The sequence below is a fragment of the Homo sapiens genome, chromosome 7 (assembly GCF_000001405.40).
Source record: "Homo sapiens chromosome 7, GRCh38.p14 Primary Assembly".
Classification (NCBI taxonomy): domain Eukaryota; kingdom Metazoa; phylum Chordata; class Mammalia; order Primates; family Hominidae; genus Homo; species Homo sapiens.
The window spans coordinates 130,550,047-130,564,656 of NC_000007.14; the positions used below are offsets into that span (position 1 = coordinate 130,550,047).

General features: G+C 36.9%; 1 protein-coding gene across 2 annotated transcripts in view; it reads right to left on the minus strand.

The window, feature by feature from the left end:
* Positions 1 to 14,610, minus strand: part of COPG2 (coat protein complex I subunit gamma 2) — a 162,511-nt gene that overhangs the window by 43,809 nt on the left and 104,092 nt on the right. For both annotated transcript variants that reach the window (NM_012133.6, NM_001290033.2), the window contains exons 10-17: positions 14,214 to 14,347; positions 13,223 to 13,290; positions 10,987 to 11,175; positions 4,991 to 5,086; positions 4,435 to 4,678; positions 2,309 to 2,384; positions 1,195 to 1,298; positions 478 to 603 (exon numbers count right to left, since the gene is read on the minus strand). In NM_012133.6, the coding sequence (NP_036265.3) occupies positions 478 to 603; positions 1,195 to 1,298; positions 2,309 to 2,384; positions 4,435 to 4,678; positions 4,991 to 5,086; positions 10,987 to 11,175; positions 13,223 to 13,290; positions 14,214 to 14,347 (1,037 nt within the window). The remainder of the gene's footprint in view (positions 1 to 477; positions 604 to 1,194; positions 1,299 to 2,308; positions 2,385 to 4,434; positions 4,679 to 4,990; positions 5,087 to 10,986; positions 11,176 to 13,222; positions 13,291 to 14,213; positions 14,348 to 14,610) is intronic.

A 14,610-nucleotide genomic window follows, 5' to 3' on the forward strand; every position in this document is an offset into this window, starting at 1 on the left:
TTTTATGTAAAAACCAGGAGTTTTTTTTAAACTCTAATAAAAATATGTCTTAAATCTAAAAGATTTAGAAGGGGTGACAATCGGCTGAGCACGGTGGCTCCCGCCTGTAATCCTAGCACTGTGGGAGGCCGAGGTGGGTGGATCACCTGAGGTCAGGAGTTCAAGACCAACCTGGCCAACATGGTGAAATCCAGTCTCTACTAAAAATAGAAAAATTAGCCAGGTGTGGTGGCGCATGCCTGTAATCCCAGCTACTCGGAAGGCTGAGGAAGGAGACTCGCTTGAACCCGGGAGGTAGAGGTTGCAGTGACTAGAGATCGCGCCACTGTGCTCCAGCCTGTGCGACGGGAGTGAGACTCTATCTCAAAAAAAAAAAAAAAAAAAAAGAGTGACAATTAAATGAGTATTAGAGAAAATATGCTAATATTTTTTAGTTTTGCAAAACTACTTATACACAGAAAAATGAATAGAGTGAACCTGCTTTCTGTTCAAAGACAGGAGCCATAGCAAGAGGAATTGATTTCATGTCAAACGGTTTTTCTGAAGGCTCCAACGTGTACTGGTGTAAGGCTTTTTCCATCCCTGGTACAGAGACCGTCAAACCTGTGAAACATAGAGAAATCTCAGCATTATAACCTCTTGCCAATCCTCGAATCCAAATAGGCCCAGGTTTGTAATATTTATCTAAGCTTTCTGAAGGAAGAGAAAAATATAACCAAAAGCTTTATAACCTAAATATAAAAATAAAGGATATTCTTGAAATTACCTTATAAACTTATAAACTGACTTATTTCATTCAAGGAAACATGGGAGCATAGCATACACATTTTCAACAAAATGTATGTACCTCCCAGAAAAGAAAGCAACTTAGCTATATGGGAACAATGATAGCATAAGAAAACGGGAAAAATGTAAACCCATCCAAGAGGGAGTTCAAGGAGAACCAGGAATAAGTGAGCAACGTTCCTAAAAAATGTAAGGGCCCAATCTATATTCTTATAGATTGCTGCATAGGAATTATCATTACCAAATTAGAAAATATCCTATAAACACAGGTTTCTCTAGAAATGGAAGTGCACTCAAAGACAAAAACCAAGCATTTGCCTAGTGAAGTTAGCTCATATGCAAATCATAAAATATGCTTCCAAGACACCATTTGAGGAACAAAAGTGTACATCCTTGGCTTTCACTGACCATTAAAGATATATGTGGCATTTAGTGCCATCTGCCTCTGCTGCAGCACATTCAGATAGAAGGTAGCTCTGTCTCGTACCTCGTCATCAGTATCCATCATACACCTGTCCAGGGGAAACAGAATAGTCATGTCACAGTACCCCAAAGACTTCCAATAGCTCTACTACCAAATCTAAAGGACACAGCTCAGGTCGTCATCTGATACTACCTTTAAAAAAGTGCTCAACAATAGCCAACAGTGGCTCCTAAAGTCTTCACAAATCTTGGGTACTGCTCTGAATTACTAAAGAAATACTGCTACTGTGAATCACAAGCACTACATAAGTAGGCATTAAAATAACGAGGAGCACAAGAACATGAAATAGCAGTCTGGAGTCTTTTCTTCCATCTGTAACTACATGACCCTGTTGAAGACTTAGACTTCTCTGTAATTAGGAAATGGGAGTATTATACTCTCCAAGGATACTGAAAAGATAAATTCAAAATCCAGCCACTGTTTTTGCTCAAATGACAATTTGTTTTACGTAAACTAGCCAACCTTTGGCTTGTAATTTATCTGCTTCAATTATAAGATGCAATCACAGTTTGCTAAAGCAAGTCTTTTCCTCATCAAATAGAGTCATGAAGACAATGAAAAACTATTATTTTTAACTCTGCATAGTGAATTACCTAACAGTTTTTTTAAGTAAGCCCCTGTTGTACAAATTGAGGCAAATGTATTTAAGTCACTTTCTCAAAATCATGTGAGAGAAAGCCAAAATCAAATGTGACATGTACCTAGCAAATAAAACCCTATGGAGAACTAATATTTTAGGGAATGGGGCTGGGAAGAGAAGCTCTATAAATAAGAGTGAGGAGTGATGGAAACATGTAGGCTATTGTGTAAACCAAGGCTAGGGGCTTTCATGAAGTGATCAGTCAATAGCACATCAAATTGATTGGGAGGTATACATAATTACTAAAAAGAGAAAGGAATTGCCATTTGCCCCTGACTTGCTCCAATAACTCTACTCTTAGGGCTTAGAGTGCATCCGCCCTATGGTAGAATGAGGATTTCACTGTTTAACCATATAGAATTCTTATTTTTTTTTAGAAAAGACATTATTTAACTTACCTCTGTAAGAGTACAAGGATGCTTGGGAGAAGACTCTCATTCTGAGCCCCAAATTTAGCCAAAGCACTCACAGCAGCTATAATGAAGCATACAATTATGGTACATAAATATTGGTTTCTCAGAGTTAACCAATAACCATTTGAAAAAAAATTAGAAAAGTGTCCCCATGTTCAGTGGAGATAAACTCCCTTGTTTTATTGAGTGTTTCTTGATCTTATTTCTTTGATACTGTTAAGCATAAATAGAATTCTGCAAGCCCAAGAGAGCTCTGAATAGGAAAATCTTCCAAAAATTGAGGAAAAAGATTCATATAGATTTTCTGTAGGAGCTATATCTCCACCCCACCACAACCCCTTATATATCACACTGATGTCATTAAGCTCTAATCTCAAACAACCAGCCCCAAGCATAAAAAGAAATTCTATTATTAAAATTCCTCTCATTCAACAAAGATTCATTGTTCACCAAACTTTTGTCAGGAATTGTGCTAGGTACTGGGACAGATAAAAGACATGTCCCTGATCTCAAGGAGCTACACTCTAGTGGGAAAGATAGGTATGTAGAGAGACAATTACAAGACATCATAGGTAAGTCCATGGAAGAAATATATCCAGGATGCTATGTGAATACACAGAAAGGAACTAAATCCGAATTGGTGGTGGAAAACTAAGACAAAGAGTTAATACATATTACTTGAGCTAAAATCTGAAGACCAAGTACTGTTAGCCAGAGGAAAAAGGCAGGATAAGAGTATTAGAGGCAGAGAAAATAACACGTTCGAATGGCCCCTGCCCAGAGAAGAAAGTGTGGTGTATTACTGGACAGTTGGGCAAGGCTGAGCAAAGGACCCATGTTGGAGAGCAAGAAGAGACAAGGGAGAGACTGGCAATAAAACAAAATTAGGGTATGGTTTAATCTCAACATTATTATTAAAGGATATTAAATATGAGATAAATTTGTACATTTGAAAGTCCCCCCCGCCTTTTCTTTTTTTTTTAGCAGAGTGTAAAGAATAGGCAGGATATATGTGAGTCTAGAAGCAGTCAGATAGCTAGGGATCTGAAACGGATGACAGCCTCAATCAGCACCAAGAAAATAGAAGAGAATGAAGAAATATTAAGGAGACACAATTGAAAGCGCTTTGCTAAAGAACAGATAGGGGCTGTAAGGCAGCAGAACAAGATTCTATCTTGATAACTGAGTGGATGATGAATGTGAGGTTAGTTTGAATTTCAGGTTGAGTTTGAAGTGCTTTAAGTTATTTGGACAAACAAGTTCAGGAAAGAGACATGACTGGAATGTCACAGCCTATTAGCAGAGCTCTGAAAATGATCACCAAGAGGAATGTAGATGTTGAGAAGTCAAAATCTTACAGAGAACTAATATTTTAAGGAATGGTGCTGGAAAGAGGAGCTCTGTAAATAAGAGTGAGGAGTGATGGAAACATGTAGGCTATTGTGGAAACCAAGGCTATGGGGTTTCACGAAGTGTTCAGTCAATAGCACATCAAGTGGACTGAGTGTAAACAAAGGTAAGAACATTAAAGTATCTAACTTGATTTTACAACTAGTTTATAAGTAATTTTCAATAAAATTACTTGAGGATTTTTAAGGGAGAGCTACATTATTCTGAGTTAAAGAGAAAAATGGATAATGAATTCATGCAGGCAGCTAATAACGGCTACTTCAAGTTTATCTCCGAGGGGAAGGAAAGTATAGAGTCAGTAGCTAGTGAAAAGCTCATAGACAGTTTACATCTTTAATGGGAGAGATTTGGATCTATTCATATGCTAAGGGAAAGAAAGATTAGGGAGGAAAAGTCGCTTAAAAATATATATATAGAAACACATAAACAAATTCTACAAACATTCATGCTTACGGCTATAACTGAAAAAACGGATGAGCCATCATAGTATTCCTATCTTACTGAAAGCGAAGGGTTATTTGTCTAATCTAAGGCAAAAATGAGGGTGGAAATTGAGTACAAAGAAAGATATCTGGGCCCTAAGCATGCTCTAAAATCCCACCATCCAATAAATCCTGCAACTTCATTTTCCAATTTCATTATCACTCTCTTAAGTATTTCAAAAGATCAGCATCGTCAATATCAGTGTCCCAATGACTCACCAGCTCTGACAGCCTCATTCTCCAGGACAACCCTATTAAAAATAAAACGGATATATTTGGAGGGGACAGGCGTTCTAGGGCCCTCTTTGCCCAACAAGTGTAGAATCTTAGTAGCCAGAACAGTGTGTTCACAGTCCTCAATGAATTCACAAAGGTGGGCTAGGCCTGCTTCTTTACTCTCAGGGTTCTCTTCCACAATGCTGATTATACAGTCCACAATGGCCCGCTTGTACTCAAAGCCTCCCTGGCAAAAAAGAAGATAAAACTGCCATTCATTCTAGGGACACATTTTGGAGAAATGCTTACACTCCAAGGTTTATGCTTATAATATTCAAATTTCATTTCCCACCTTTTATGAAAGAAGCAAAAGTGTTTTTTCTCCAAGTGGGGAAAGCAAAGCAATGGCATGTTTAGTAATAAGACAGTAACCAGACTTAGTGTACTACTTGAGAGGCATACTGAGATGATAAGGAAATCTTAAAACACTATGGTATTTCATGGCAATCCTAAGAATTTAAGACAGCAACTTCCTATGATTAAAAAGTAGTCTACCTACATCATCTCGGAGCATGTTGGAGAGGAAAGTCATCATGACACTGTGCTTTCGAGGGTATTTCTGACAGAGAGCACTAATTGCCTGTACAACCACCACCTGTAGAAAAACAAAAAGAATATTCATTTTTATGACTGTACAACTACCACCTATAAAAAGCAAACAGAGAAAAGACATTCATCTTTATAATTATGGCTACTAAACATACTTTCCTACTTACTACAAGCTAAGAAGATCCTGTAGTTGCCTAAAATGACAATAATTGTTCTTCATGGAAGATAACCAAGGAGACCACAAAGGAAAATACAAAGCAATGTAAAAATAAAGTTCATTCAACAGATCCCTTCCCTCTGTCTCAGACAAATGATCACATCAAAGATTTTAAAGTGAACCATAAAGATAAAAAGCTTGAACAGACTGACTTCCATAGAAGAATAGAGAAAGCTATCAAGGAACTACTTCACAAAATGGTTTCTAGGGGAATTTTACCACAATTTTAAAGACCAGTGTCAGCCAGGCACGGTGGCTAATGCCTGTAATCCCAGCACTGTGGGAGGCTAAGGTGGGTGGATCACCAAAGGTCAGGAGTTCGAGACCAGCCTGACCAATATGGTGAAATACCGTTTCTACTAAAAAAATACAAATATTAGCCAGGTGTGGTGGCGTGGGCCTGCAGTCCCAGCTACTCGGAGAGCCTGAGACATGAGAATTGGTTGAACCTGGGAGGCGGAGGTTGCAGTCAGTTGAGATCGCACCACTGCACTCCAGCCTGGGTGACAGAGAGAGACTCTGTCTCAAAAAATAAATAAAATAAAATAAAATAAAAATAAAGACCAGTGTCAAGATGTGTGAAGAACGTGAGATTTTACCCTGCTTGTGGCTAACAAGTTAACCTGTCACAATTTCATGGATGCTGGTAGAAAACAAGAGACTCCTGGCTCAGCGATGAAAGACAGTTAACTACTCACAGCAGTAGCAGTAGCCAGAGTGTGAGCATTTTGGGGTGGGTCTCCTGAGCCCCAATTCCCAAAGTGCAATGCAAAGAGAGCCAGATAATACCTGGTCTTGCAGTAGGCTGCATTACTGAATAAGAACCCTAAGGATGGAACCTGAACATTTTACAGTGGGGAGTAAGTATGCCTGTCCTTTTTTCCGAAGGAAAACATTATTATATTGGACCATAAACATGTTTACTTTTTGCTCCAGAGGGCTTTTTGCTCTAAATACTATTAGTATTTCCTGGGGCTGCAAGGAAATCTTCCCTTTCCTTTAGAGGGAGACATGATCTCTATCTTCTAAGGCTAGAAGATGTCTTGTATTATAGAAAGGGAATACAGTTATGGTAGCAGGAAACAGAGGGCAGTTAGCGCCTAACTTGCAAGATGTGCAGAAATGAGAAGAGACTCATGGAGAATTTAGAATTGTCTACCAACAATCGGATAACCCCAAATCCATATATACAGTTTCAGAGCATAGAAAATGAAAGAAAATCTCCATAATGTTTGTATGAAGCAATGATACTTAAGCCTAATAAAGATGGTATATATGTACAGAAAGAAAAATTACAGACTAAAATCATTTATAAATACCGATGTAAAAATTCTAAGAAATATATTAGTTAATAGATTCTAACACTACCTTAAAGAAATAATGCACCATGATGAAATGGGTTTTATCAAGAATGTAAAGATGGTTCAGCATTAGAAAATTGATAAAATAACATCACATTCATGAGTCAAAGGATTATATCCAAAATGCTGAAAAGGCTTTGATAAAATCCAACATCCATTCCTAATAAACATTCTTGAAAAAAAAAGGAACAGATGGATATGTCCATAACATAAACATATATACTTCAATCCTAATGACAGCATATTACTTAATATGGAACCCTGAAAGGCATTCCCATTGAGGTCAGAAGTGATGCAAGGATGCCACTATCTCCACAATTATTTAGCATTATTCTGGAGATATTAGCCAATGCAATTAGATAAGGGAAAACAAAGAAACAAGAATCGGAGAAGACAAAACAAACAAAAATATCTTTATTTTTAGATGACATGATGGTATATATGAAAACCCTAGAGAATGAATAATAAAACTAACTCGATAATTCACCAAGGTAGCAGGATATAAAATTAACATGCAAAACCAGTAATATTCATATACATAAATGATAACCAGGTAGAAGATAAAATGGAATAAAAAACATTTATAATAGCAATGAAAAAGGTAAGTTATTTAGAAATAAGCATTTTAAAACCATTCAAAACTAATATAAAAATATTTTTTATAAAACATTCTTGAAAGGCATAAAAGCAGATTTGAACAAATTAAAAGACATCCTTGTTCTTAGGATGTTCCAACATCATCAGGATATGTATTCTCCCCTAACTTATGAATTTAACGTGATCCCAACAGAAAATGTCAACAGGGTTTTTTATGAAGCTAGACAACTTGATACTAAAGTTCATTAGAAAAATAAACATGTGGCTGGGCATGGTGGCTCATGCCTGTAATTCCAGCACTTTGGGAGGTCGAGGCGGGTGGATCACCTGAGGTCAGGAGCTCGAGAACAGCCTGGCCAACGTGGTGAAACCTCGTCTCCACTAAAGATATAAAAAATTAGCTGGGCATGGTGGCGGGTGGCGGGTGCCTGTAATCCCAGCTACTTGGGAGGCTGAGGCAGGAGAATCGCTTGAACCTGGGAGGGGGAGGTTGCAGAGTGAGCAGAGATCACGCCGTTGCACTCCAGCCTGGGCAGCAAGAATGAAACTCCATCTCAAAAAAAAAAAAAAAAAAAAATCATGCAAGAATAGCCAGGAAAACAATGAAAATAAAGAACTATGATGGAGGGCTAAGCATCCTACAAAGCTTCTATATTTAGAACAGAGTATAGCAGTAGTATATGAATAAACAGACCAATATATAAGTAGAAAAGACACTCCAGAAACAGACTCAAGTACATACGCAACTTTTTTGAGTTTGTATGAACATACAAACTCAAGTACATATGATAAAGATGATGTCTGAAATTACTGGGGCAAAGACGGTCTTAAAAATTTTCTTTCAGCTTTCCCGTCTACAGAAAAAATTAAAATAATTTTTTTTTAGATAAGGTAATGTGGTTTGGATCTGTGCCCCCAACCAAATCTCATGTTGAATTGTAATCGCCAGTGTTGGAGGTGGGGCCTGGTGGGAGGTGACTGGATCATGGGGGCGGATTTCCCTGCTGGTGCTGTTCTTGTGATAGTAAGTTCTTGTGAGATCTGGTCATTTAAAAGTGTGTAACACTCCTCCACACCCCCCTTGGTCATGCTCCTGCCATGTAAGACGTCTGCTCCTGTTTTGCCTTCCACTGTGAGTAAAAGCTCCCTGAGGCTGCCCCAGAAGCAGATGCTGCCATGCTTCCTGTTCAGCCTGCAGAACTGTGAGCCAATTAAACCTCTTTTCTTTATAAATTACACAGTCTCAGGTGTTTCTTTATAGTAGTGTGACAACATACTAATACAGAAGATCTTGCTCTGTTGCCCAGGACAGAGTGCAATATGATCACAGCTCACTGCAGCCCCAACCTCCCAGGCTCAAGTGATCCTCCCACCTCAGCCTCCCAAGTAACTGGGATTATAGGTGTGCACCACCATGTCTGACTAATTTTTGTATTTTTTTGTAGAGACAGGGTCTCACTATGTTGCCCAGGCTGGTCTTGAACTCCTGGACTCAAGCGATGCCCCTGCCTTGGCCTCCCAAAGTGCTGGGATTAAAGGTGTGAGCTACCACACCTGGCTTTAAATAGAATTTTGGGGGGCAACTAACTGTGTAGTCAATGGAAAAGGATAAGATTGAATCTGTTTATAGCATATATAATAAAAAAATTCAATGGACCAGAGATCTAAATGTAAAATATGAAACTATAAATGTATTAGAAGAGAACATGAGTGAATTACTCTAAAATTTGAAGGGAATATAATTTTTAATTATGAATTCAAAGTCAAATAAAATAAAAGGTTGGCAAATATGACTACCTAAAAAAAATAACACTTTTGCATGTCCAAAGACATCATAAGAAAAGTCAAAAGACAAATGACAAACCGGGAGAAGATATTCATAACATCTTTCACAGATAAAGAGCTAATATCCTGAATATACAAAAAAATTAAGGAAACAAAAGACTAAAAATCCTAAAGAAAATGCGGAAAATGCAGCCTACCCAACCCATTGCAGCTTCTGCCAACACCAACATAAGACTGCTTGTGTCCCTGTAGGTTGCTCCAACATCACTACTGCCCATCACCCACACCACCCCAGCTGCCAGGGGCCGGAGAACCCACTCACACACTGAGCTCACTGCTCTCAGTATCTCTTTCTAGCAAGCCACCTTGAGGCCCAAGGATAGCCCTCTAGTACCCACAAACACTGGAGCCAGTGTAAGCTGGGCCTAAAAATAGGCACATTTGGTGTACTGCTGCCACTACTGGAGCCCAAAGACTGACTGACTATGTGTCCAGATCCCCAGCTAAACTTCACCACAACCTCAACTAATGCCTGTACCCTAAGTCACTGAGGAATCATAGAGACCACTGACCCTGTGTACTGCTCAAGAGGTCATACGAAGATCCCACTACCACAGGCACTCAAAATCAAAGCCAAGGTATCTTAATAACAAATACACGTCTTTAGCAAAAAACTCACTCCTACAAATGCAATTTGAAAAAACTAGAACAGCAACTGCTACACCAGATGCACAAAACTGTCTGCTTGAATACATGGGTAAAGTTTGTTTTTTAAAAGTCTGGATGCATACTAAGTAGAGAGTAAATAGGGTTAGTTATATTACTTGACTGAGTATAAAAAAAGAATGAAGCAATAAAATGTTTCTACTTTTATTCTTTTAACTGAAATTTATTTATTTATTTTTTTAAAATCATCTCTGACATACTCTCACCAGTTCTATTCAACCCTGTTCTGGAAGTACTTTTTTAATTAGGCAAGAAAAACAAAGGAAAGGCATTTGGATTGGATATAAAGAAGTAAAACTGCCTCTATTCACAAATGGCACAATTATTTATATAGATAATCTCAAGGAATACGTATAATGATGACTAGAACCAGTAAAAGTACTCAGCAAGGTTACAGGATACCAAGTTAATATGGAGAAGTATTTTTTAAAAGTTTTTCATTAATAGTAAACAATAAAATAAAAATTTTAATAAAATATCAAAAGCATAAAATATTTAGATATAAATTTAACAACAGATTTGCAAGACCTCTAGAGTAAACACTACAAAACACTGCTCAGAGAAATTAAAGAAGATCTAAAGGGAGAGATATACCATATTCATGAAATAGAAAAATAATGTTAAGATGTCAGTTCTCCCCAAATTGATTTATAGATTCAACACAATCCCAGTCATAATCCTAGCAGGCTTGTTTAGTAGAAATTGATAAATTGGTCCTAAATTTCATAGGAAATGCAAAGGAACCAGAATATTAAAAAAGAAAAAGTTGGAAGACCGCACTACTTAAGAGGTACCATAATGCTACATTAATCAATATTAGTGTGGTACTGGTACTGGATTGACAAACAGTTCAGTAACATAATACAAAGCCCAAAAATATACCTAAAATATATGGGTATTTGCTTTGTAGACAAAGGTGCCAAAGCACTCCAACAGGGAAAAGGAAGTCTTTCCAACAAATTATGGTGGAATACAGTAGATATAGGTATGGAAAAAATACTGAACTTACCAAACAAACAGTAATTCAAGTTGGATCATTGCCTAAAATGTAAAATCTAAAACCATAAAGCATTTAGCCTAAAGCATGAGAAAACAAGTAGATAAAGGTTTCTTAGGGAACAGTAATAACTATGAAAGAAAAAAATTGATAAATTAGACTTCATAAAAATTTAAAACTTCTGCTTCTCAAATGATACCGTTAAGAAAATAAATAGGCAGCCAACAGACTGGGAGAAAATATGATCATGTTTAAACTCTTACCTTGAACTCATCTGAGATTTCAGACACAAAAGAAGATATCTGCTTCATGAGCCGGTCCACACTGCTCTCACTTCCTGTTTTGAGGAGTGTAGTAATGGCTAAGGTAGCAATGCTTCTGTTTGAGTCTGTGATTAAGTTTTCTAAGTCCAGATTGCAGGCAGTAACAGCAGAGGGGTGCTTCATTGCCACCTTGTGGAAGGGCAAGAAAAAAAATTAAGCAAATTGCTTTTGATAAAGGCCAGAACTTAAATTTTAATTGAGGTAAGTGGCAATCCAAAGAGGACAGGATAAGTTAAAAGTAATTGCTTCAAAAACAAAAAGAATGGCTCCAGTTAACAAGGTATATCTTTTAATAAATGATCAACGGCCAGAGTATAGCATCGTACTCTCTTTTGTTAGGTTCCTCTAACCTTTCTAACATTACCATTTTTAAAAAATTATAATTGGCCTGTATTTCCTTATAGTACGTGTGTTCATATACGTCTATTCTATTAGATGTTAGGAGTACTGACAACAGGATCTAGCATAGTAGTCAGTGCTCGACAAAGACTGTTAATATCTTATCAGTTAAAAAATACTGCTGCATTTCAAGACGCAAACTCCAGCCAAACTGCATTATCTATGGTTACTACATGGTCTGCCATTCTCCTGCATCCTTGTTTTTGTTGATGTTGTCCCACCTCTTTGTCTATCCCAATATTGGTATGGAATCCCTTACCCACAATTTGGAAAATCTGAAAACACTCTGGAAAGCAGAGCACTGGGATGAAAATCCATTTAACAGCAAAACATGACCCAAACTAATGCGAAACTCTTTAATTCTTAATTTATACCACTTGACAAGGATAGTCATATGTTTTGTGCAAAAATATTAATGTTTTTTAATGGTGGGATGCTGCCCCAGGCCCACTGGGGTTAGTAAATAAGAGATAACACCATATAACCTTTCTAAAATTTAACTAAAAGCAAATTCTGAGACACATCTGGCCCCAAGATTAGAGATGAGGGATTGTAGACCTGTATCAACTCTTTAAAAACAATTTAGGCCAGGCTTGGTGGCTCATACCTGCAATCCCAGCACTCTGGGAGGCCGAGGTGGGCAGATCACCTGAGGTCACGAGTTTGAGAGCAGCCTGGCCAACATGGCGAAACCCTGTCTCTACTAAAAATACAAAAATTAGCCGGACGTGGTGGCAGGTGCCTGTGATCCCTGCTATTTGGGAGGCTGAGGCATGAGAATCGCTTGAACCTGGGAGGCGGAGGTTGCAGTGTGCCAAGATCGTGCCACTGCACTCTAGCCTGGGAGACAAAGTGAGACTCTGTCTCCAAAAAAAATAAATAAATAAAAAACCATTTAAATTGTTGTTCTATAAAGGTTTCTTCCATGGCTGCTCTAAACTTCTCTTTTCTTCGACTGTTTACACAATTAATTTATAATTATGTATTGCCTATGACAAGTCTTCTATTACATTTAACTTTCATTTACATTTTCTATGCTTATTTAATTTATTCTGTGTTTCTGTATTATATCCTCTAAATCTATACTGTCTAATAACATAGCCAACAGCAACATGTGACTACCAGGCATTTGAAAGGTGGCTAATCCAAACTGAGTATGCTGTAAATGTAAATATACTGGATGTCAAAAACTTGAGATATGTAAAAATATCTATTACATGTTGAGATGACATATTATATGTATTATGATAAAATATACTATTAAAATTAATTTTACCTTAAAAATTTTAATGTGGTTATTATGAAATTTAATATTACATATGTGATTCACAGTGGGTTTCTACTGGACAGGGCTGCTGTAGACCAGCACTGTGCAAGAGAACTTTCTTCAATGACAGAAATGTTCAAGATCTGCACTGTCCAACAGCCACTGACCACATGTGGCTGTGAGTACAAGAAGTGTGACTCATGTGACTGAGGGTTGAATTTTTTATTTTAATTAATTTAAATTGAAATAGCCACTGGTGGCTAATGGCCACCATATTGGACAGTGTGGCTCTTGAATATAAAATGCTTAGAAGTCAGAAATGAGTTATAATCTTCAGCTAAATAATAATAAAAATGAGCATACTCAAGGCCACAAATACAAGTGAAGTGTTGTAGAGGTGAAGCCCATAAATCACATATACTAACCTTGGAGAGAAAACCAAATGCTTCACATTTAATGTTTCTCAATTAAATACTGATATAAGTCAATAATTAGCAAAGAAACACCTACCTTGTTCAAGGTCCTCACAGCTGCATATCTCAAGGCTGGCTTAGGAGAACTACAGAAAAGTTGAAGAACTAAAAAAAAATAATAATAATAATATGTAACATTAAGTAATATTACATATACATACCGTGAATACTCCTGGCTTAAGAGAACTATAGAAAAGTTGAAGAAGTAAAATACAGATATAGATACAGTGACTATTACCTATATATGCTGTGAATATTCCTTATCTCATCATATACCATATAGCTGAAAATATAGTACATAATGAATCACATTCAAAATATGCATACATTTTATCACAGCATCAAAAATTTACATGAAAAATGTAACATCAAAATAGAAAAAGCACTTTTGGGGCGCCTGTAGTCCCAGCTACTCGGGAGGCTGAGGCAGAAGCATGGCGTGAACCCAGGAGGCAGAGCTTGCAGTGAGCCGAGCTATCGTGCCACTGCACTCCTGCCTCAGTGACAGAGTGAGACTCCGTCTCAAAAAAAAAAAAAAAAAAGAAAAAAAAAAAAGAAAAAGCACTTTTGGTCAGTTATAAAAACTTAAATAAGAAACAAAGTTTGCTCTTTTTAAAAAAAAATTAGAATACCCATTAATACCTGAACTAAATGGTAGAAATATTGACAGTTCTGAAAACAAATGGGCTTTTTAAACACCAAGGAAAACTGTAAAATGTTTTCAAAAGTTTCATACGAGGAAACAGAAACTTTAAAAAAAAGCAATAAAGAACTATTATTAATAAACTATGTACATATAAATAAAATTCTTTCAAAAGTTTTATATGGAGAAATAGAAACATTAAAAAAAGTAATAAAGTAAGGAACAACTAAAATAAACTATCTACATATAAGCTATCAGAATGCAAAGGCTATATATACACAGAGCTAGTGTTCAGAAAACATTCTTAATACCTATTCTGTAGACCTATGAAACTTAAAGCAAAAACTTAGGAACATAAAAGCCAGCCATCAAATATAAAACAAACCTGAAACAGCAGGTGCCAACTCTCTTGCAGTGCAGTTAGGAAGATGGATGATAGCTGAAGCAGCTTCATAAATAACCATTTCATGTTTATTTCGCAAGCAGCTCTCAATGAAATCAAACAGTGGACTTTCATGGCTGCCAATAAATATTTATAGGCCATTATTTAGATATCAAATAGAGAGGCAATATGCATAGGGATTAAAAGCACAGGCAGATTGAGAGGCACTTCTGGAATGGTGGATGAGGGATTTCTAAAAATTCATTTCATCACAAAGCAATTAGAACACTGGCAAAATTGTCAAAATCAACTTTTGCAGAACTCTAAAAAATTAATCAAAGATTTGCAACAATCCTGAACATCTATTTAAGAAAAGTAGCTGAATCTTAGTAAAAATGGT